This window comes from Homo sapiens, chromosome 15, assembly GCF_000001405.40.
Source record: "Homo sapiens chromosome 15, GRCh38.p14 Primary Assembly".
Lineage (NCBI taxonomy): Eukaryota > Metazoa > Chordata > Mammalia > Primates > Hominidae > Homo > Homo sapiens.
In genome coordinates this window covers 99,586,401-99,609,550 of record NC_000015.10, presented here as the reverse complement: position 1 = coordinate 99,609,550, position 23,150 = coordinate 99,586,401, and the positions used below count along the sequence as shown (strand labels likewise).

At 36.1% G+C, this 23,150-nt stretch overlaps 1 protein-coding gene across 78 annotated transcripts in view; it reads right to left on the bottom strand.

Annotated features, from left to right (window-relative positions):
• MEF2A (myocyte enhancer factor 2A) overlaps window positions 1–23,150 on the bottom strand; it is a 151,072-nt gene that overhangs the window by 106,938 nt on the left and 20,984 nt on the right. For 46 of the 78 annotated variants that reach the window (NM_001400049.1, NM_001400064.1, NM_001400061.1 and 43 more), the window contains one exon: window positions 11,040–11,121. The exons of 25 other annotated variants lie outside the window; for them this stretch is intronic. The gene's annotated coding sequence lies outside the window, so the exon portion shown is untranslated. Of the gene's footprint in view, window positions 1–7,441; window positions 7,611–11,039; window positions 11,171–23,150 lie in introns of all 78 variants that reach the window. 7 more of the 78 variants (NM_001400057.1, NM_001352615.4, NM_001400063.1 and 4 more) reach the window with 2 other exon arrangements.

Here is a 23,150-nt window from a genome sequence, read left to right as displayed (position 1 = left end):
TATGTTTTTAAAATACAACATTATGTCGTACAAACACAATCACAGCCATAAAGAAAGGATTCGATAACAAAAACATAAACTGTACTTTGAATATAAATCTCATAGACTTATGGTCATTACCTGAAAGTGCAGTTTGGCTTTATGTAACTTTCATAAAGGCAGAACATACCCTACAAATACTCACACTAATTTTATGAAGTTCTGAATTAAATTAGGTTATTATACATTTTTAGGTAAAATTCAAAAATACTAACATCTGATTCAAGAAATAAGATCAATAAACATACAAAAATACACACAGCATTGAGAAAAATAATCCCTTACTAACTAGAAGAGAGCAAGAAATCACTATGACCCAAAGCCATTATGAACAATGTCATGCCATGCACATGGGCCTGGGGCCAAGAGTGAGCAGGTGGGGTCTGAAAGCCAACTTGTCTTCCACTGTCTAGCACCTTAACTGTAGCAGAAGCCACTATTTACTTAAAATCAGAGGGGCCTTTTCCAACTTTGCAAAGACTAGCTGTGGTCTAGCTATGATACCTCTAAACTATCTACTTGTTAGAAAAGTTAAGACAACTGAAATACTGAATACTGGTACCTTTGCCTAAAATCAGAACAACAAAATAGCACCTTCTTTTTTTTTTTTGAGACGGAGTTTCACTCTTATTACCCAGGCTGGAGTCCAATGGCACGATCTCAACTCACTGCAACCTCCACATCTCGGGTTCAAGTGATTACCCTGCCTCAGCCTCCCATGTAGCTGGGATTACAGACGCCTGCCATCACGCCCAGCTAACTTTTTGTATTTTTAGTAGAGATGGGGTTTCACCATGTTGGCCAGGCTGGGTCTCAAACTCCTGACCTCAGGTGATCCACCCACCTCGGCCTCCCAAAATGCTGACATTACAGGCGTGAGCCACCACGCTCGCCCAAAGTATTACTTTTTATCATGTGTTTACTTCTTATGTTTTAGGTAAAATAGTCAATACACCAAAACAAAAACAGGATGGGAGGAGGGGAGAAATCATCTAAAAATCTAAAACATGGTTTGAAAGATGGCATCTTTCTATTTTAATTTGGATTTCTCTGATTAATAACAAGTTATATATTTTTGTATGCTTCCACACAGTGTTTTTAGATTAGAGACATTCAAAGCTGAATGTTGAAAAATAAAAGAAGCTTAAGGGTAAACTGTTTACAGCCTGTTACTATTAGTGAAATATGCAACATGTTTTATACAATGAATAGCAAATATAGTGCAAGTACCTTACATTCACAGTGAAATTAACTAAATTTGATTAAAGCTGTAAGTAATTTTTTTTTGTAATGTCAATAATCACTCCCTTCACTTAACTGCTGAAGTTCAAAGTTTTTTTAAGTTGGGCTTCCTTAAACAGGACATATGATTATTTTAAAACTACATAAACCATTAGTTGATCATGGTAAATCATCCAAACTACTAACTTCAAAATTTTTATCTGGATGACCAGTCTATAAAATATCAAATGTATCAATGAATTATAATTTGATTTTCGGTGATTCATGTCTTCTACTACCTCAATTCATTTCTACAAAGCACAGCAAGACTATGGCTCAAAACTCCTACAGGAAATTATAAGAACTGATGATATAATCACAGGGCACCTTGAACTCCTTAGAGATAAGCATAGTATTACGAAAATCATTAGAAAGGAGACTTTGTAAACTGCCCTGTTAAGAGGAGAGCCCCTCCATCCATGCTCTTTCATCCTCAGATTAATTACACCAACATAAAGAACAACGTCCTGTCTTCACATGGGACACAAAAGAGAAATAAAGGATACAGCAAGGCAAGGCATAGAAATGAAAATGAGATTCTAATCCTCTACCACCAACAACTCACTCTCATAATTAATGCTCCCTCATTTGTAAAATGCAGATACTTATGCCTATCTCAAATACTTCTCAGGATGTCATAACTACTGGGGGAAAAAATGTTTTACAAATAATTAAATCATACAAAAAGATGAATTATCATTACTAGAAATAATCTCGGTTCTCTACATCATGATTCAAATATCAAATATATTAAAACCTTTTAACCTCATATCATCTGAATCAAACCTGATAAATGTGCTCTAAGTCTAACCTTATCAATATTTATTCAGTCAAATATGATTTTGAGTATATATCAGAGATGTAAAAATACATAAAACAAAAATTCACAATTCAAGGACTGATTACAAACTCAAGTTACAATTCAGATCTAAGAGAATATGAGCACTCCTAAAATCACCCACTATTCAACAATCATTAAATCCCTCCTCCACCACACCTAGAAGTCAACAATTTTCCTGATTATTGTGGTAGCAACTCTCTTTTGTGGTTGTTGTTGCTGTTATTCATTTTCCGTTTCATGGCATAAGCACATATCCCTAATCATCATAGCTTATTTTACCTGTTTTATTTTTGCATGTTTTGTTTTTACTTTATATACGTGGAATCACACATAATGTGTGATTTCTGGCTTCATTTGAGAAACATCTTGTGATATTTATCCATAGCTATAGTTATTCCATTTTTACAGCTGTAAAGTACTCCACTGTATGAATGTATCATGAGTTTATTTATGTAGCCAACTATGATGAACATCATATTGAGTGTGAGGCTATTACAAACAGCTACCAACGTTCTTTAACACATCCCTCCACACACATGTACATGTATTACTCAAGTGTATACCCATGAAAAGAAATTAATGCATCACAGGGTATGTAAATGTCAAGATGTTTCTTAAAGTGGCTGAGTTCCCATAACCTAACATCCTCTCAAAAACTTGTACTATAAATCCCTTTTTAAAATTTCAGCCATTCTAGTGGGCATATGGTGGAGCCTAGTTTTTTTTAATTCGCATTTCCCAGATTATTAATAAGGTTAAGCACTTTTTTTTCCACGTTTCTTAAATATCTGAATTTCTTTTGTGAAGTATTTTTCATGTCTCTTGCCCATTTTTCTATTGGATTGTCTCTGTCACATTGATTTGTAGAAGCGCTTTGAATATTCTGATACATGTCTTTTGTCTGTTAAAGGTACTGCAGATATCTTCTCTACTCTGACTTGCCTCTCTTTTCTTAATGGTGACTTTGCAAGAACAAAATTTCTTAATTTTAAGGTAGTCAAAATTATCAATTTTTTAATACTTGCCGTTTTGATTTTTTTTTTAAGAAATATTTTCCTGGCCAAAGAGCATGAACCTGTTCATCTATATTAGCTTCCAAAAGTTTCAGTTTTGTCTTTCATGTTGAAATATACGAATCATTCTTAAACTGATGTTTGCATATGGTATGGAACATAAGTCATTTCTTTCCATACAGATTATCACTTGTTCCAGGACGATTTATTGACTAATTCTTTCCCTACTAAAGTGTGCGTTTTGTCATAAAGCAAGTGTCCGTGTACATGTGAACCCTTTTCCAGGCATTTAATTTCTTTTGTTTATCCTTGTGGCTTTATTTCATGAAATCAGTGACTGTAGATTTATATAAGTTTTTAATAGAGAAAGTTCTTCCACTCTGATCTTCTTTCAAGACTACTTTAGCTATTCTTGGGCCACAAAATTTCCTTTAAAATCCAACACAGGGCATGATCTCGGCTCACTGCAACCTCTGCCTCCCGGTCTCAAGTGATCCTCCTGCCTAAGCCTGCTGAGTGGCTGCGACTACAGGCATGCGTCACCATGCCTGGCTAATTTTGTATTTTTTGTAGAGACAGGGTTTTGCTGTGTTGCCCAAGCTGGTCTTGAACTCCTAGGCTCAGGTGATCCACCCACCTTTGGCCTCCCAAGGTGCTGGCATTACAGACACGAGCCACTGCACCCAGCCCCTTTTTTTTTTTTTTTAAATCTAAAATCTAAAAAGTACTGTAAAGCTCCTTGGGCCCTGAGCCAAGAATCCTACAAAAAAGCATACCAATTTACTTGTTCATGCTTTATGTATAAGGTCTACCTTTCAGGCATAAAGAAGAATGTAACGTCTGTAAATGTGTTGAACAAATCTAAGCTTTCAACATTGTTGGTAGCTTGGATGTCCACCTTGCACAATATAGTTCAACTTTGGAAGTTGTGATAGGCAGAATAATTATGCAGGAAAGAAAACCACATCCTAAATTGCCAGAACCTGTGAATATGTTACATTACATGGAAAAGGAGAATTAAGGTTGCAGATGGAATTAAAGTTGGTAATCATTTGTCCTTAAAATAGGTAAATTAATTTGGATTATCTGGGTTGGCTCAAAGTGAACACATCTTTAAAAGTGGAAGAGAGGCAGGACGCAGCAGCTCACACCTATAATTCCAGCACTTTGGGAGACTGAAGCAGCCAGATCACTTGAGGCCAGGAGTTCGAGACCAGCCTGGCCAGCATGGCAAAACCCCGTCGCTACTAAAAATACAAAAAAAATAGCTGGGTGTGGTGATGCGTGACTGTAGTCCCAGCTGCTTGGGAGGATGAGGCAAGAGAACAGCTTGAACCTGGGAGGTGGAGGTTGCAGTGAGCAGAGCTCACACCACTGTACTCCAGGATGAGCGACAGAGCAAGACTCTGTCTCCAACAAAAGCAGATAAACTAACAAAATTTTTGGAATATTGTTTGGGATTACTTTGAATTGAGAATAATCCTCAGAAGAGCATGGAGTATAGCCCTCAAAAGGATATAACCTTAATGGGCAGTAAATTAACCCCACGGAAAAGGCTTCTCTGGACCAACACTGACAAGCTTAAACAAAAAGATTCAGCTGATACTAACTTATACACGTACAAAAACAAAGTCCAACACTATATAGAAGATACCAAAAAAAAAAAACAAAACCCCTAAGCCCAACAATGTCAAACCACAACATCCAGCATCCAAACATTATAGGGAATGAGAAGAGGCAAAAAAATGTGGCCCATATAATAAAAGTCAATCAATATGAAGAGATTCAAAAATGATAAAGTTAACAGAACTGACAAGGGCATTAAAAAAAGATTATAAATAAACTTAGTATGTTACAGAAGACAAAGAAAAATAAGAACATGAAGAGAATAATGGAAGAAATAAAACTTCCAGAAATGAAAAATGATTTTCAGAAATTAAAAACACCCTGGATGGGATTATTCAATGCAGAAGAAAAGATCAGTGAACTTGAAGGCATGGTACTGTTAACCAACCAATAAAGCACAGACAGAAAGAAAAGAATGAAAAACAAAAGCAGTATCAGTGCCAAGAGAGACAATATTTCAAATATATAACTAAAATTACAGGGGAAACAAAAACAAAAACCTGGAGTAAGTGGGATATTTGAAGAAATAGTGGTGAAACATTTCCAAATTTGGTTTTAAACAATAAACTAAAAAATCTAGGCAGCATTATTGCAAAGAAAACCATACAAGGCCCATCATAATCAAATGACTAAAACCTAGTAATAAAGTCTTAAGAGTAGCCAAAGAAAATAGAAAACTTACATACTGGGAACAAAAGGTAAGAACAGCAGACTTTTTGTCAGAAACTATGCAAACTATTTCACAAACTATTTCACAAAATTTAATAGTGACAAAGACCTAATTCATCAAGAAAACATAAAAACCCTTATTACGCATGCACCTAGTAACAGAGCCTCCAAACACATGAACCAGTAAAAGGAAAAATAAATCCACAATTGAAGTTGAATATTGAACACTTCTCTTTCAGAAATTATTGAAACAAACAGAAAATCAAAAGGGACACAGAAGTCTTAAAAGAACACTATCAACCAATGTGACCTAGTTAACATTTTTAGAAAACTCCACTCAACACATTCTTCTTAAGTACACACAAAACATTTACTAACACTGGCTGGGCATGGTGGCTCACACCTGTAATCCCAGCACTTTGGGAGGCTAAGGCAGACAGATCACTTGAGGTCAGCAGTTCGAGACCAGCCTGGCCAACATGGCAAAACCCCATCTCTACCAAACACACACACACACACACACACACACACACACACAAAATCAGCCAGGTGTGATGGCTGCATGCCTACAGTCCCAGCTAATCAGGAGGCTGAGGTCACAGGATTGCTTGTAGCCAGGAGGTGGAGGTTGTAGTGAGGCAAGATCACGCCACTGCACTCCAGCCTTGGTAACAGAGTGAGACTGTCTTTGAAAAAAAAAAAAAAAAATTTTACTAACACAGACCACCACAACTGTGTCTTATAATAAATCTCCACAAGTTGACAAGAACTTACATCACACAAAGTATGTTCTTGGACAACAGTAGAATTAAATTAGAAACCTGTAAGAGAAAGAAATCTGGAAAATTAACCAAATATTTGAAAATGACGTGGGTCAAGGAAAAAAAATCACAATGGAAATTTTAAAATACTCTGAACTCCATGTAAATGAACACACAACATTACTAACATTGTAGGATGCAAACAAAGGAAAATTAAAAGATTAAATACTCTTTTAGAAAAAGAAGGAAGTTTGCAAATATCAGCAACGAAAGAGGGAATATCACTACAGATTCTTCAAATGTAAAAGAATAGGGATTCTAAAATACAACTTCGTGCCAATAAATTAGACAACTTACATAAAATAGACAAATTCCTTGAAAAACAAACAACTAAAGCTTATTTAACAAGAATTAACATAAATCCAAATAGCCCTGTATCAGTTAAGGAAACCAAATTCATAGTTTTGTTACAGTAGGTAGCTAGTCAGACATGAGCAGGGCAGGAAAAGCTCCCCACCCCTACACACACACACACACACACACACACACACACACACACACACACGAAAAGCTCCCCACCCCCACCCCCCCACACACACACACAAAAAGCTCCCCACCCCTACACACACACACACACACACACACACACACACACACACACACACACCCCAGGAATGTCAGGCAACCACCAGGTGACGGTCAGGCAGTTGTTAAACTGTCTCTCTAAAATGATAATTGGTCGCGGCCCAAGCCAGTGAAAGGCAGTCTCCCAACAGATAGAAAACACCTGAAGCTGGTGATCAGCCGCTTCCCTATAACATCTCAGGAGTTGGACATATGGGCTCCAGCATGCGCATTAAGAGGCAAAATGGTAGCGTTTAACTGGTATATGACTTCCTAGGGACATTGGACTGTTAAGGGAAGAATACCTCAAGGAAGCATACATACGACTTCAGTAAACACACTGCACAGGCTCCCCTCCCAAGTGCTAGGCCACTGTGAATGCAGACAGCCCACCCCAAGGGAAGAATCAGGGCAGAAGGGACACAAGACCCCAGAAGTATGCCAACATATAAAACCCTGAGTCAAAGGTCAAACCACGCACTGATCTCTCACGCTGCCCACTTGGCCCTCTTCCAAGTGTTCTTTACTTCCTTTCATTCCTGCTCTAAAGCTTTTTAATAAACTTTCACTCCTGCTCTAAAACTTGCCTCGGTCTCTCCTTCTGCCTTATACCCCTCAGTTGAATTCTTTCTTCTGAGAGGGCAAGAACTGAGGTTGCCGTAGACCCATGCAGATTCACCGCTGGTAACAGTTTAAAACCTTCCCACAAAGAACCTCCAGGTCCAGAGGTCTTCATTGGTGAATTCTACCAAACACCTAAAGAAGAAATAACATCAATTCTATGCAAATTCTTCAAGAACAAGAAATTTTAACTCATTCTGAGACCAGCATTACCCTGACACACACACACACACACACACACACACACACACACACACACACACACACAAAACAGACAAAAACTACAATCCAATGCCTTCTATGAATGTAGACTTTTTAAAAGAGTCAACGCAATTTTAGCAAGTGAATCCAGCAATACACAAAAAGTATAACACATCATGACCAAGTGATAATTATCCTAAGAATACATGAATGGTTGGTTCAATATTTAAAATCAATCAATGTAACTGACCATATGCACAGACAAACAGGAGGGGAGGTAGGTGACCATATTAATAGATGCAGAAAAAACATTTGGCCAAAATTCAACACCTACTCGTGAAAACGAAAAAAAAAAAAAAAAAAACTCTGACCAAGACCTGGTGAAAAACTCAAAGTTTTCCACCTAAGATCAGAAGCAAGGCAAGGATGTTAGTTCTCACCACTTCTATTCAACATTGCACTGGGACTACTAACCAGTCTAATAGAGCAAGCAAAAGTAATAAAAGGTGCATAAATTTAAATGGAGGAAATAAGATAGTCTTTATTCACAGAGAAGATAATGATCTACACAGATGATTTGAAGAAATCTACAAAAAAGCCACTAGCACTAATAATTAATTTAGCAATATTACAAATTATAAAGTTTTATATAAAAATCAATTCTATCTCTGTAGACTAGCATCAATCAATTGGAAACTGATATTCTTTTAAATTCCCATTTATAATAACAAAGTTAAAATAATTAGAGATGAATTTAACAAACTATGTGTCAGACCACTGCACTGAAAACTACAAGACACTGCTGAGAAAAAGTAAAGATGACTTAAATGAATAGAGGTACCAAGCTCACGCATTAATAAGATTCAATATCCTTAAGAGGTCAATTCTCCCAAATTGATCTCTAGGGTAAAAACATTCATAATCAAGATCCTGTTAGGCTTTTTTTGTAGAAATTAAGAAGCTGATTCTAAACTACATAGAAAGAAATAAAAAGGATCCAGAATAGAAGAAACAACTTTGAAACAGAAGAACAAACTTAGAGGATTTACATTACCAGATTTTAAGATTTACTATAAAAGCTTCAGTAATCAAGACAGTGAAGCACTGTCATAAGGATATATAGATCAGCAGAACAGAGTCCTGAAACAGACCCACACATAATGGCCAATTAATGTTCAACAATGGTGCCATGATAATTCAACAGGGGAAAATATAATGTTTTCAAAAAAACTGCTGGAACAATATGATATCTATATTCAAAGAAATAAACTTCAACCCTTACCTCACACCATATACAAAAATTAATTCAAAATGGATCACTGACCTCAATGTAGTAGTCCAAAGAAGTTCCAAGACATGAAGGAAAGCCAGGAGAAATTCTGTCTAATCCCTATGACAAACCTTCAATTTCTACTGCAGCAGAATTGTAAAGAAAATCTCTAATCTGAGCTTCGCCAGTTAACATACGAATCTATTCAAAAAGAAAGGACATTTCCAATCTAAACACTCAAGAGTAACTCCTAAACAAGTAGTTATTAACTCAGGCACAACCCATAGAACCATAGAAGGCCCGTCATGAAGGATAAGACACTGTCTACATCCTTAGAGACTAGTAGAGGAAGCAGCATAGAGAATTCCCTAAAATCTAAACATGACTCAAAATATAACATCTGAAGTTATACCCACAGCCATCACTGAGGTTCAGAGAAAGTACAGAGTTCTCAGCTAAGGGCATGAGTGCTTTAGCTCATATCACTCAGTTTCCAGCAGTTAATGAACAAAACAAACAGGTGAGAAATTTAAGTAAAATCCTTGCTTAGTATCTGTGGAGTGGGAAATTGGTTCCAGGATCCTCCATGGATACCAAAATCCTAGGACACTCAAGTCTCTTATATAAAAATGGTGCAGTATTTGCATACAACCTACATAAATCCTCCTATATTTTGAATCATCTCTAGAATATTTATAATATCTAATGCAATGTAAAATTTTTTATTGGTGTATTATTTTTTATTGTTTTGAAGTATAGGGTATTTTTTAATCCACAGTTGGTTGATCCACAGATGAGGAACCTATGGGTAGAGAGGGCCAACTGTAATGATGAGAAAAGAAAAAGATTTACAGAAGACTAACCAAGGTTTATATTTTAAAATGAGAATTAAACTCCACTGTTCCCATCCCACCTACACATACACAAGTTTTAAACTGAAGGTACTTTGCATCAGTTGGATAAACAGGCCTTTTTCTCCTAGTCTCCTAAACTAAAGATTATCAATCATTAAATGGGCTGTTCTTCAGTCAAGTTATAACAAGAAAAATATATAACCATATGAAACTGATGTCAGAATATCATACTTCAACAAAGAACTCATTTTTCTAAGTTTGTAAAATGTGATTTCTTTCTACTATTTAATCATTCAAGAAAAAAAATTTAGACCTATGTTAAGTAGCAAAAGTATTCCTGAAATGGGCAAAATAAAAATTTTTAAGATACCTTTTCCAAGATTTTTACTGACATAATCATCAGCCTGGATCAATGATATCTAATATTTAAAATGCTAATGTTAACTTATTATAACACACTGCAGAATATCCCCTAACATTTTTCAAAATTACTTATTTTAAAATATTCTAGCATTAATATAATTCACTTCTTTTCCATTTTAAGTAGAAGGTGGAATTCAGGTAAGGTTTCACTCATGAAAACTTTTGAGGACTACACATATGAAAACTTTTGAGGACTACACATCTTACTGAGATACTGTGAATGTTAACCTAGGCCAATGTAAGTTTTTTAATCAAAATAGTCTCCTCCTGAGCTTTGCAAATATGAACCCATTAATTTAAGGCAGTAAATTCCAAGTCATTAAAAATGTCCACATTTTTAAAAGATCCCCTAAAATTTGCTTTTTCTATTTGACCTTTCCCATGCTTCATGAGATATGGCTAGACATGCATGTCATCTTTCACTTGAAAATCTTTCCTCAGCTCATGTAACTCATGTCCCCCAACTCTCCCTTCATCCTATTAACTGTCTCAGTAACTACCAACTACCTACTTAATTTTTTTTCTTCTTTCTTCAAATAGAGGTTAACTGATAGAGAATATGGAAGAAGTGTGAAAGATGAAAAAATATGAGATGATTTCAGCAGCGTCAGACAAAATATAAGAGAAACTGCCACTACACAATATTACGCATTTCAACCGAATTTTACAAATTTCCTCAACTGGGTCTAAATTAAGCCCCCCTCGCCCCCAAGAAAACCTCTAAAATAACTGCCATTCAATCTCACAAGAACAGCCTGATTTTTAAAATACATTTCCATTGTATCTACTTAACATAGAAAAGAAAAAATGTCTTACTAGAAATGAAGTATCAGCAAAAAGTGCACTTAGATATGATCCTTGCAGAAAATTCTTGTTCTTTTTTCACAAAATGCAATTCCTTAAAAAAGAAAAAAATTTGAGATGCATTATTGTTCTTGACTCCAAAGCTGAATTAAATATACATTATACAAAATTCTAGCACTCAACACCATTCCTAGCAGAAAGCTCCACAAATACTGTTAAATGAAAATTAAATTTTAAAAAGTCATTTATTTGGAATAAAACAAAACGTCAGCCAACTGAGTATCTCTACTATTACGAATCCTTTTTCTTCAGGAAGTATTACTCAAATGTTCAGTAATATTCTTTGCATCGCGAGATTCAAAAATTGGTTTCCTAGGTCCCATTTTCCTATCCTCTGTATCATGTTATGCTTTATATTTATCTGTACTGTGCGTATAGCCTATTGAACTTACTAGTTTCAATAAACTAAACTTGTTTTAAATAGTTTAAAATGTTCACCATATTGTTTTCATCAAGAAAATTGTGAAATAATTGTTATCACCATAAAATATACCTGTATTTCAATACAATGTGTATATTTGTAATTTTCACTAGCTAGCTATATTTTAAAGGGAACAATGAAATTAACACAAAACTACAAAAATGAATAGAAGACTGATGGCTGTCTATGATTCACATTAATAAAGGAACACTAGTTATCGGGGAATCTGCCCCAATATTCATGTAGGTTCTTTTCTATTTTCCTTAAGCGTCGGCCAGCTTGAGAAATAAAGGGACAGAGTACAAAAGAGAGAAATTTTAAAGCTGGGCGTCCAGGGGAGACATCACATGTCGGTAGGTTCCGTGATGCCCCCCAAGCCACAAAAACCAGCAAGTTTTTATTAGGGAGTTTCAAAAGGGGAGGGAGTGTGCGAATAGGTGTGGGTCACAGACATCAAGTACTTTACAAGGTAATAGAATATGACAAGGCAAGTGGAGGCAGGGCGAGATCACGAGATCACAGGACCACAGGACCACAGGACCGAGGTGAAATTAAAATTGCTAATGAAGTTTCGGGCACCATTGTCACTGATAACATCTTATCAGGAGACAGGGTTTTGAGATCAACTGGTCTCTGACCAAAATTTATTAGGCGGGAATTTCCTCTTCCTAATGAGCCTGGGAGCGCTATGGGAGACTGGAGTCTATTTCACCTCTGCAGTCTTGACCATAAGAGACGACCACACCCGGGGGGCCAGTTCAGAGACCCACCCCCAGGTGCGCATTCTCTTTCTCAGGGATGTTCCATGCTGAGAAAAAGAATTCAGCGATATTTCTCCCATTTGCTTTTGAAAGAAGAGAAATATGGCTCTGTTCCACCCGGCTCACCGGCAGTCAGAGTTTAAGGTTATCTCTCTTGCTGCCTAAACATTGCTGTTATCCTGTTCTTTTTTTCAAGGTGCCCACATTTCATACTGCTCAAACACACATGCTGTATAATTTGTGCAGTTAATGCAATTATTACAGGGTCCTGAGATGATATAATCCTCCTCAGCTGACAGGATTAAGAGACTGAAGTAAAGACAGGCATAAGAAATTACAAAAGTATTAATTTGGGGAACTAACAAATGTCCATGAAATCTTCACAATCCACGTTCTTCTGCCATGGCTTCAGCCAGTCCCTCCGTTTGGGGTCCCTGACTTCTCGCAACAACTAGTGAACACTGCTCAATGGATTAGGTGCACAAACAATAATCCAGCCCTGCTACATTCTTGCTTGAAGATAGAGCAGGACATTCAGGTAGAAAAAGGAAAGCTATCTCTCTCCTCGCTCCTATTGGCCAGGATCAATTATAATGCTAACACAATAATTTAGAATTGCATGATCCGGTGATTCAACCAATCCCCAAGTAAATCCATTTCATCAAATGAAAATGGTAATTTATCCACAGAAACACCAATCTTTTGAATCTGATTCAGCAGTATTAATTATTATGACCCTGATTTTGTTTCTATTTGGAAACGGACACCTCCTCTGGGGGCGGGAAAAACACAAACTGCCAAGTATTCTTTTTATACTAACAAATTAAGTATTAAAAACCCAAACTGTAAAAGACATAAAAACACATAAACAAGTTTTTTTTTTTTGCAAAGGTAAAAGGAGCTTACTTTAAAACACCAATTTCAGCTTTTAATCTAATGGTACTAAAATGCAGAAAAAAATTCCTCAAATTTAGTTGCATTACCAACTTCTAAAATACAATCATTCAAAGTAAAGCCAAAATTTAGCTATTTGGCCCATGGCAAACAAGTGATTAAACACAAATTTGATAGTTACACATCACAGTACATATTCTCATCTCAAAATGCATTCCTCAATTATATAAATGTACTGTTACTGATGATGTATGTTGTACCTAGTTTTCAAGTAGTTTCTAAAAGACAATACTGTAAAAAATCAAGTTTTTATAGTTATTTTACAATAATCTGTAATGAGACACGCTCTTTAAAAAAAAAAACTAAACTAGAATGTTAGTGCTGAGTCAGTTATCATCAAATTTCATACACTGAGCCTTCAAATCCCGTTGCTTCCACCCACCTAAAAGGGAGACAGCCTGGTCCTCTAATTGCTATCCCTATCTCCCTCGACTACCCGTTGACACACACTGTTAACCTAGACAACAAGCCATTGCTGAGACTGTTAAGCTCTTTAACTTTGTTTTTACCTCCACCTGGAAATAACTTTCCCCTGTGTCTCTTATATAGATCAAACGTACACTTCAATGACGCGTTCTGTGACGCCATCTTCAGTACACCTTAACTATCACCATCACTCCCAGGGGGTAAAATTATTGTAGTTAGTTGTACAAGTATGAGTCTCCTCTATTATACCATATGCTTTTTTAAAAGAAGGAACTTTGTACTTTGTTCTTTTTATATCCCCAATATCTACTCAATATCTGGCCCAGGATTCAATATAATTCATTTGGAAAATTTTTACTAAGCATCCAACATATTCCAGGCACTTTTCTAGGTGCTAGGAATCAATCCCTATCCCTATTCCTGACTTCATAGAGCTTACATTCTAGTGGGGAGACCTATAGTACAAGGTGAATAAGGAATATATAATATAGGTGGTAGGTTGGTGGAAAAGTCCTTAATGAGAAAAAAAAATTAAGCAGGGAAGGAAGTACTGCCAGAGGAAGGAGATTAAAACTATAGACAATGCATCCAGGGAAAGCCTAACATAATAACAACAACTACAAGAGCAGCAGTAATACTTGAGTATTTATCATATGCTAATCAGCATACTAATTGCTTTACATGTCATTACCTGATGTAATGCCAACAACAACCTCATTATTACCCCATTACTATTCTCAAGAGGGAACGCAAATACTAAAGAAGCAACTTCCCAAGGTATTCAGCTAGTAAAGTGGTGAAGCCAGGATTAGAATCCAGGAATGCTTTTAACTGCTATACATAACCACAATTCAGTAAATGCTTTTGGTGAATAAAGAGGTGGAAAAAAAATGAATGCCTACTATAGCAATAGATTCAAGACAGCAAAGCAAATTCAGTCTCAGAGGACCAGTACATTTGAGCAGGTTCAGATATACGTTGTACATCAATACCTATATATGATAGAGACCATGAACATGTAGACAGACACCTGCTTTGAAGTATTTACAATTACTGATAATTTCATAACACCCTTTAAAATATATTTAGAGTTTCTATATGACAATTACCAGAACTAAAAATTATACAATATCACACAAATCACACAGATAGAAATAATGTGATGTAATAAGAAATACATATTTGGTTTCTGCTGGAGTGGCAAGTGTCTCTTGCATGCCAGTGAAATGACTAGTGACTAGGGGGCCCTAGGTAGCTTCAATACGTGTGCTGGTCATCAGAAAGACCTAGGCATGAACAGAGGGTTGATGTTTTCAGCCCCAACTCCCAACCTCTGGGGAGGGGAGAGAGACTGAAGGTTGAGTTGATTACCAACGGTCAATGATGTATGTAATCAATCATGCCTAGGTAACAAACCCTTCAAAAAAAAAAAAAAAAAAAAAGAAAGAAAGGACAGGGTTTGGAGTGCTTCCAGATTGCTGAACACGTGGAGGTTCCTAGACGGTAGCACAACCAGATAGAGGATGGAAGCTCTGTGCCCCTTTCTATACACCTTGCCCTATGCATCTCTTCCATCTGGTCATTCATCTATATCCTTCATGATAAATGGGTAAACATAAGTAAAGTGTTTCCCTGAGTTCTGTGAGCTGCTCTAGCAAATTAATCAAACCAGAAGAAGGGGTAGTGAGAACCCCTGATTTACAGCCAATTGATCAGAAGTACTGATCACAACCAGGGACTTGTAGTTGGCATCTGAAGTGGGTCAGTCTTGTCAGGCTGAGCCCTCAACCTGTAGGATATGATGCCATCTCCAGGTAGATAGTATCAGAATTGAACTGAATTATAGGAAATCCAGCTGGTGTCCACTGGAGAACTACTTGGTAAGTGGGAAACCCTCACACACGTTTTGGTGACCGAAGGCAACGTATCCTGTGGTGAGTGGTGTGTGAAAGAGTACAAAAAAAAAATAATTTGTTTTTTACCTATCTCAAATAGGTGATTAAAAACAAAACAAAACATCTTTTTTAATAGAAGGTACTCCTGAAAGAAACAAGACCTTTGAAGCATTATCAAGGACATTTAAATGTTGAATATCATGTTTTATACCACGGTACAACTTAACTCAGCTTCCAATTTTCCATACTAGTAGGAATGGTTAAATGAAATGACTTCAATCAGTGTTCAAACTATTTGAACTACCTTACATTCAAAAACTATCAAAATTTCACTGGATGCTTCTGTACTGAGCATAATGCAGTGTCAAAGAAAACAAAAGTTTCTACATGAAAACAGTTCCAAAGTCAATCCAAAATGAAACTCACAAAATTATGAATTTCACTTGTAATCAAAATTTAGGATTAGTTGCAACGGGTATTTTTAATTCCAAATAAGGGTGAACTCATATGGGCACCCAACTCCTCATGCCTTAAGATATTTGCTACCAGGCATGATGTAGTAACTGGTATCGGACATGCTCTCCCATTGAACTAAACTAGAAAACTGATAAAATATATAAAACTACAATTTTAAAACATCAGACAATGAACAGCCCCGCACTGTGAGGCCTGGAAAAAGGGAAAGTGTCTCTACAAATGCTTGGATGCACAGTCAGGACGACAGTGCAGAAAAGGGAAGCCAAGAAGAATACGGAGACTCACGGAGTACAAGAGACAGATAAAAATTCAGGAAGTCTGAGGTAATGGGAATTTGTGCGACAGATTAGCAAAAAGGATGGTACTCAGGAGAGAAAGTGCTCCTGAAATCTGCAGAGGGATTCTAGAGCAGCACTGCCCAAAAGAAACATATTATGAACCTAAAATGTAAGTTTTAATTTTCTAGTAACTACACTGTAAAGGAAAAAGAAGGTGAAATTAATTTTAATACAATATTGTATACCACCCAATACACTCATAATATTATCACTTCAGGATGTAACTGATATTTAAAAAGTGAGATTTTCATATATGTTTTTCCAACCTACATCCCTAACATTCAGTGTGTGTGATATGATTTGGATATCTGTCCCCACCCATATCTCATGTTGAAATGTAACCCCTAATGTTGGAGGTGGGACTTGGTGAGAGGTGTTTGGGTCATGGGAGCAGATGTCTCATGAACGACTTGGTGCCCTCCTCTTGGTAGTGAGTTCTCACTCTGAGTTCACGCAAGATCTGGTTGTTCAAGAGTGTAGTACCTCCCCCCACCCACTCTCTCCTGCTTCTCCTCTTACCATGTGACAAGCTTGCTCCCCTTTTCCCTTTCACCATGACTGTAACATTCCTGACACACTCATCTGGAAGCAGATGCCAGCAGTATGCTTCTTGTACGTCTGCAGAACTATGAGTCAAAATAAGCCTCTTTTCTTTATAAATTATCCAGTCTAAGTTATTCCCTTACAGCAATGCAAACAGACTAACACAGTGTGTTTTGCACATACAGCACATTTAAATTCAGAATAACCATAATTCAAACACTCAAGAGCCACATATGGCTAATGGATACCACATGTAACAACACAGCTCTATAGTTTTTCATTGAATGTGTGCATGAATAAAGTGAAATTCACAAGGCCAGGCAAAGAACAATGATCAGGAAGCAGTATAATAAAAAAAAAGTTCCCAAAGATTACATAAGACTGCAGAATGTTCAAGTTCCACCCAGAGAAACCTGGGCAATCAGTAGAAAATGCAGCAGCAGCACCGCCGCGTGCTAACCTAGTCCTACAGTAAAGGCTACACTAGATCTGCCAGAACAAAGTGTAAAAGCAAGCTCAAAAGGTTCATACACGTCTGCAAGAAATTTATCAGTCTGCCAAAACAAAATTAAAATCTCTTCAGAGGAAATCAACAAAATCCAGACAACAGTGTGATGAATGTCCAGGAGTCAATCAAAACTTACTAAATGTAAGAAAATGAAGAAATGTGTGACCCACACCACCAGGGGGGAAATCCGATAAAAGAAAGAAGCCCAGAAGCAAGACAGGGTGTCTTTAAAGGCATAAACTTCAAAATATTATAAATATATTAAACGATTTTTTTAAAGGAACAAAAAAGAAAATGATTTTTAAAAGAATAAAATGCATTTTCTAAACATAAAAAGTGCAGTATCTCAAAAAAGTAACTGGATGGAATTAACAGTAGATCAAACTGCAGAAAAGAAGATGACAAAATTGAAGATGTAAAAACATCAAAAAGAGCAAAACAAAACAAAAACAGATTATGAAGAACCTGTGAGAAGATCAAGGGCAACCTAAACATAATGTAATTGGAACTGCAGAAGGAAGGAGAAACAAAAAATACATGACGAAATAGGGCCAGAAAAAGGTCCAAATTTGAGGAAAACTGAACACACATATTCAAGAAACTCAACATACATAAAGCAGATTAAGCACAAAGAAACCACACCAAGGCACATAATAGAAATCCAGTCATATAGAGAAAATCTTACAAGAAGCCAAAGAAGTGGAAAGACACATTACACACAGAGGAACAAAGATAATAATTACCAGACTCCTTGTCAAGAGTAATGCAACAAGTTTACAACAAAGGAATTACATCTGTAAAGTGCTAGAAAGGACAAAAAAAAACTCTGTAAGCTAAAATCTATATAAAGCAGAAATATTCTTCACCGATAAAGGGGAAATAAAGACATTTCAAACAAACAAAAGCTGAGACAATCTGTTACCAGGAGGCCTGCAATCCAAGAAACACTGAAGGAAGAGTTTTAAGAAGCAGAAAAATGGTAGAACTGTACATCACAGAGTGAGCCCTAATGTGAACTATGGACTCAGCTAAGAATAATGTATCAGCCCTCAGTTGTAACAAATGTACCACACCAATACAAGAGGGAACCTGCAAAGGGTGGGATTGGGGTAGTATATATGAACTCTGTACTTTCTGTTCAATTTTTCTGTAAAGCTAAAACTGCTCTAAGATATAGTCTATGAAATTTTTTAAAAGAGCAGATAGAAACCTAGCTCTACACAAGGAAAGAGTAACAAATGGTAAACGTGACAAATTATAAGACATTTAAGTTTTAAGAAGATATTTGATTATCTAAAGCAAAAGTAGTAATAATGTATGGTAATAACATGTAGAATAAAATCAATGACAATAGCAAAAAGAATGAAGGGAAGGAAACTGGAAGTGCACTACAGTAAGGATCTTACATTATTTCTAAAGTGATGAAGGTGGATTGCGATAAGTTCAAGATTCATGTTGTAAAACCCTACGGCAACTACCAAATACATAAAATAAAACTAATCAACCAAGAAAGTAGATTAAATGGAATGCATATTTTTAAAATATGTAATCCAAAAAAGGTATAAAAAGAGGAAAATAAAACACAAAATAGGACAAGTAGAAAACAAAGATGGCAAGATGGTACACTTAAATCTAACTATATCAATAATTACAGTAAATATATATTATCTACAAACCTCAATTAAACAGTAGAGACTGTCATACTAGATTAAAAGTAGAGATTGTCAGATTAAGTAAAAAAACAAGACCCAACTATATATATGTTGTCTATAAGATATCACTTTAAATTAACACAGATAGGAAACATAAAATAGAAAAGGATATATCATATAAACATTAATCCTAAAAGCAGCAGTGCCTATATTAATATCAGACAAAGAAGATTTTAGGAGAAGGAATACGTTTCATAATGCTTACAGTCTCAAATTATCAAAACTACAAAATAATTCTAAACATTTATGCAGCCAATGATAAAGTTCCAAAACACATAAAGCAAACACTGACAGAACTAAAAGGAGAAATAGATATCTACAATTACAGCTGGAGATTTAAATACTTCCTTCACACTAACTGGTAAAATGAGTAGATGGAAAATCAGTGAAGATGTATAAGACCTGAACAACACTATAAACCACCTTGGTTTAACTGAATACTACAACCAACCACATAAGAACAAACATGAAAATGTACATGTGTCTTGGTACAATCAACAACAAAGAACATATGCTGGACCATAAAACAAGACACATGAATTTATAAGAACTGAAATGACATAGAAACTGTTTTCTGACCACAAAAGAATTAAAGATCAGTTACAAAAAGGACACTTTTTTGGGGGGGGACATTTCTATTTTGGGACATTTTCCAAACATTTGGAAATTAAGATTTCTAAATAACTCATGGATCAAATAAATCATTTAAAATTTTAAAAATACATTGAACTAAATGGCAAAAACATGATTAGATTATATAGGGTAAAGCTAAAGATACGTACTTGGAAATTTACAGCTTTTAAGTGCGTATTTTAGAAGAAAAAATAATGGTTTAACAGCGTTCCAAACTTCCACCCTAAGACACTAGAAAAAAGGAGCATATTAAACTAAAAGTAGAGGTAAGGGAATAACAAAAGTAGAAAATGGTAACAGAGATGTGGGACAAACTAGATAAAATCAATTAAAGTTGGTTATTTGAAAAGAACTTCTAGTTAGGCTGGTCAAGAAAAAAGACACAAATTACCAACATCAGAAATAAAAGAAAGGACATCACCACAAATGCTGCAAACATTAAAAGTATACTAAGGGTGATTTTATGCCAATAAAACTGACAACTTAAGTAGACAAAATTTCTTAGAACATGCAGACTATCAAAACTGACACAGAAAGAAAAGTCTAAATAATTCTGTATCGAATAAACTAAATTCGTAATTTAAAAGCTTTCCACAAAGAAAACTCCAAACCAAGATGGTTTCACTAGTGAATTCTTCAATCATCTAAAGATTTAATATCAGCTGTACACAATCTCTTCAGGAAACAGAAGGAGAGGACACACTTTCTAACACATTTAAGGAGGCCAGTATAAATAACCCTGATACCAAAATGAGGCAAGAGGACCACAAGTAAAAGAAACTTCATACCAGTGTCACTTGGGTATAGAGGCAAACATTCTTAACAAAATATTAGCAGGTCAAATCCAGCAAAATATGTAAAGAAAATATCAGTACAGATGGGGTTTGTCTCAGGAATACAAGGTTGGTTCAGTATTCAAAAATCAATGTAATTCACTACATTAACATGCCAAAAAAACCCATGTGATTAATTCCAATAGACATAGAGAAATAACAAAACACCCATTCAGGAAAAAATTTAAAAAAAAAAACAAAAACAAAAACTCAGCAAACTGGCCAGGTGCAGTGGCTCACGGCTATAACTCCAGCACTTTGGGAGGCTGAGGCAAGAAAACTGCCTGAGGCCAGGGTTTGAGAACAGCCTGGGCAACATAGAGAAACCCCATCTCTACAAAAAAATACAAAAATTAAGGCCAGGTGCAGTGGCTCACACCTGTAATCCTAGCACTTTGGGAGGGTGAGATGGCCAGATTGCCTGAGCTCAGGAGTTCGAGACCAGCCTGGGCAACAGGGTGAAACCTTGAGTCTGCTAAAATATGAAACAAAAATTAGCTGGGCATGGTGGTGTGTGCCTGTAGTCCCAGCTACTCGGGAGGCTGAGGAAGGAGAATTGCTTGAACCCAGGAAGCAGAGGTTGCAGTGAGCCAAGATCGTGCCACTGCACTCCAGCCTGGGCAACAGTGAGACTCCTTCTCAAAAAAAGAAAAGAAAAGAAAAAAACAACAAAAAAAAATTAGCTGAGTGTGGTGGCACACGCCTGTGGTCCCAAATACTTAGGAGGCTGAGGCAGGAGGATTGCTTGAGCCCAGGCAGTCGAGGCTGCAGTGAGCCATGACGGTGCCACTGTACAACAGCCTGGGCAACAGAGGAGACCCTGTCTCAAAACAAAACAAAACAAAACACCTCAGCAAACTAAAAAAGAAGGCAACTTCCTCAACCTATAAAGAGCATCCACAGAAAACCTACAGCTAAGATCATACTTAATGGTAAAAGACTAATTGCCCCCTCTAAGACTGGAACAAAACAAGAATGTCCACTCTCACCATTTTTAATTGCTATTTTACTGAAGGTCCTAAGCAGTGGAATAATGTAAGAAAAAGAAAAGGCATCCAGATTGGAAAGGAAGAATTAAAACAGGTTCTATTCACAAACATCACACACAGTAAAAAACAAAAAAAAACTACAATAAAGTAACTGGAACTAAGAAGTGGAGTTTGCAAGGGTATAGGATACAAGATCACTATTAAACATCAACTGTATTTCTACATATTTGTAATGAAAATGTAAAATTAAGTTTTGTAAAAATATGTTATATTAGTTTCAAAAGCAGAAAATATTTAAAGACAAATTTAACAACATGTGCAAGACTAACATTCTGAATACTAGAAAATACTGCTGAAAGAAATTAAGGAAGGCATACAAAAATAATTATATACCATGTTCATGGAGCTGAACACTCAGTTAATACTGTTGTGATACTGATTCTCCCTAAAATGATCTATAGATTCAACACAATCTAAGTCAAAATCTCAGAAAGCATTTTTGTAAAGATTGACAAAAAAACTAAAAATTTATAATACAGCCAGAACAATTTTTAAAAGAAACAAAGGCAGCCATAAAAAAAGGATGAGTTCATGTCCTTTGCAGGGACATGGATGAAGCTGGAAACCATCATTCTCAGCAAACTAACACAAGAGCAGAAAACCAAACACCACATGTTCTCACTCATAAGTGGGAGCTGAACAGTAAGAACACATGGACACAGGGAGGGGAACATCACACACCGGGGCCTGTCATGGGGTGGGGGACAAGGGGAGGGATAGCATTATGAGAAATACCTAATGCAGATGATGGGTTGATGGGTGCAGCAAACCACCATGGCATATGTATACCTATGTAACAAACCACCACGTTCTGCACATGTACCCCAGAACTTAAAGTATAATTTAAAAAAAAAAAAGTTGAAGGATTTACACTACCTGATTTTAAGACTATTTAATACAGTGTGCTCTTGTAATAACAAAATACATACATCAATGGAACATAACAGAGAATCCAGAAATAAATCTACACAAATACGGTCATTTGATCTTCAACAAAGATGTCAAGGTAATTCAAGGGGAAAAGAAAAACCTTATCAACAAATGATACTTGAACCTTGACATTACCTCATAACATTCACAGAAGTTAACTCAAAATGAACTGTAGACTTATAAATAAAAGCTAAACTATAAAACTTCTCAAAGTTTTATAGTTTGAGACAAAAATCCCACTGCCCCATGTAAGGCAAACATTTATCAGACAGGACACCAAAAAAGCAGGTATCCATAAGGGAGAAAACTGACAAACAGCACTTCATCAAAATTGAAACCTTCTGCTCTTTGAAAGATACCATTAAGGGATAAAAATATTCACAACATAATGGAGAAAATGAAAAAAAGACTTCTATGTAGAATATATAAAGATGTCTTACAGCTGAGTAATAAGAAGGCAAATAACCCTATTAAAAATGGGCAAAAGATGTGAACATTAAACTTAAAAAGATGTATGAAGAGCCACTCAGTAAATGAAAAGCATTTAGAATCATTAGTCATCAAAGAAGTGGAGATTAAAACG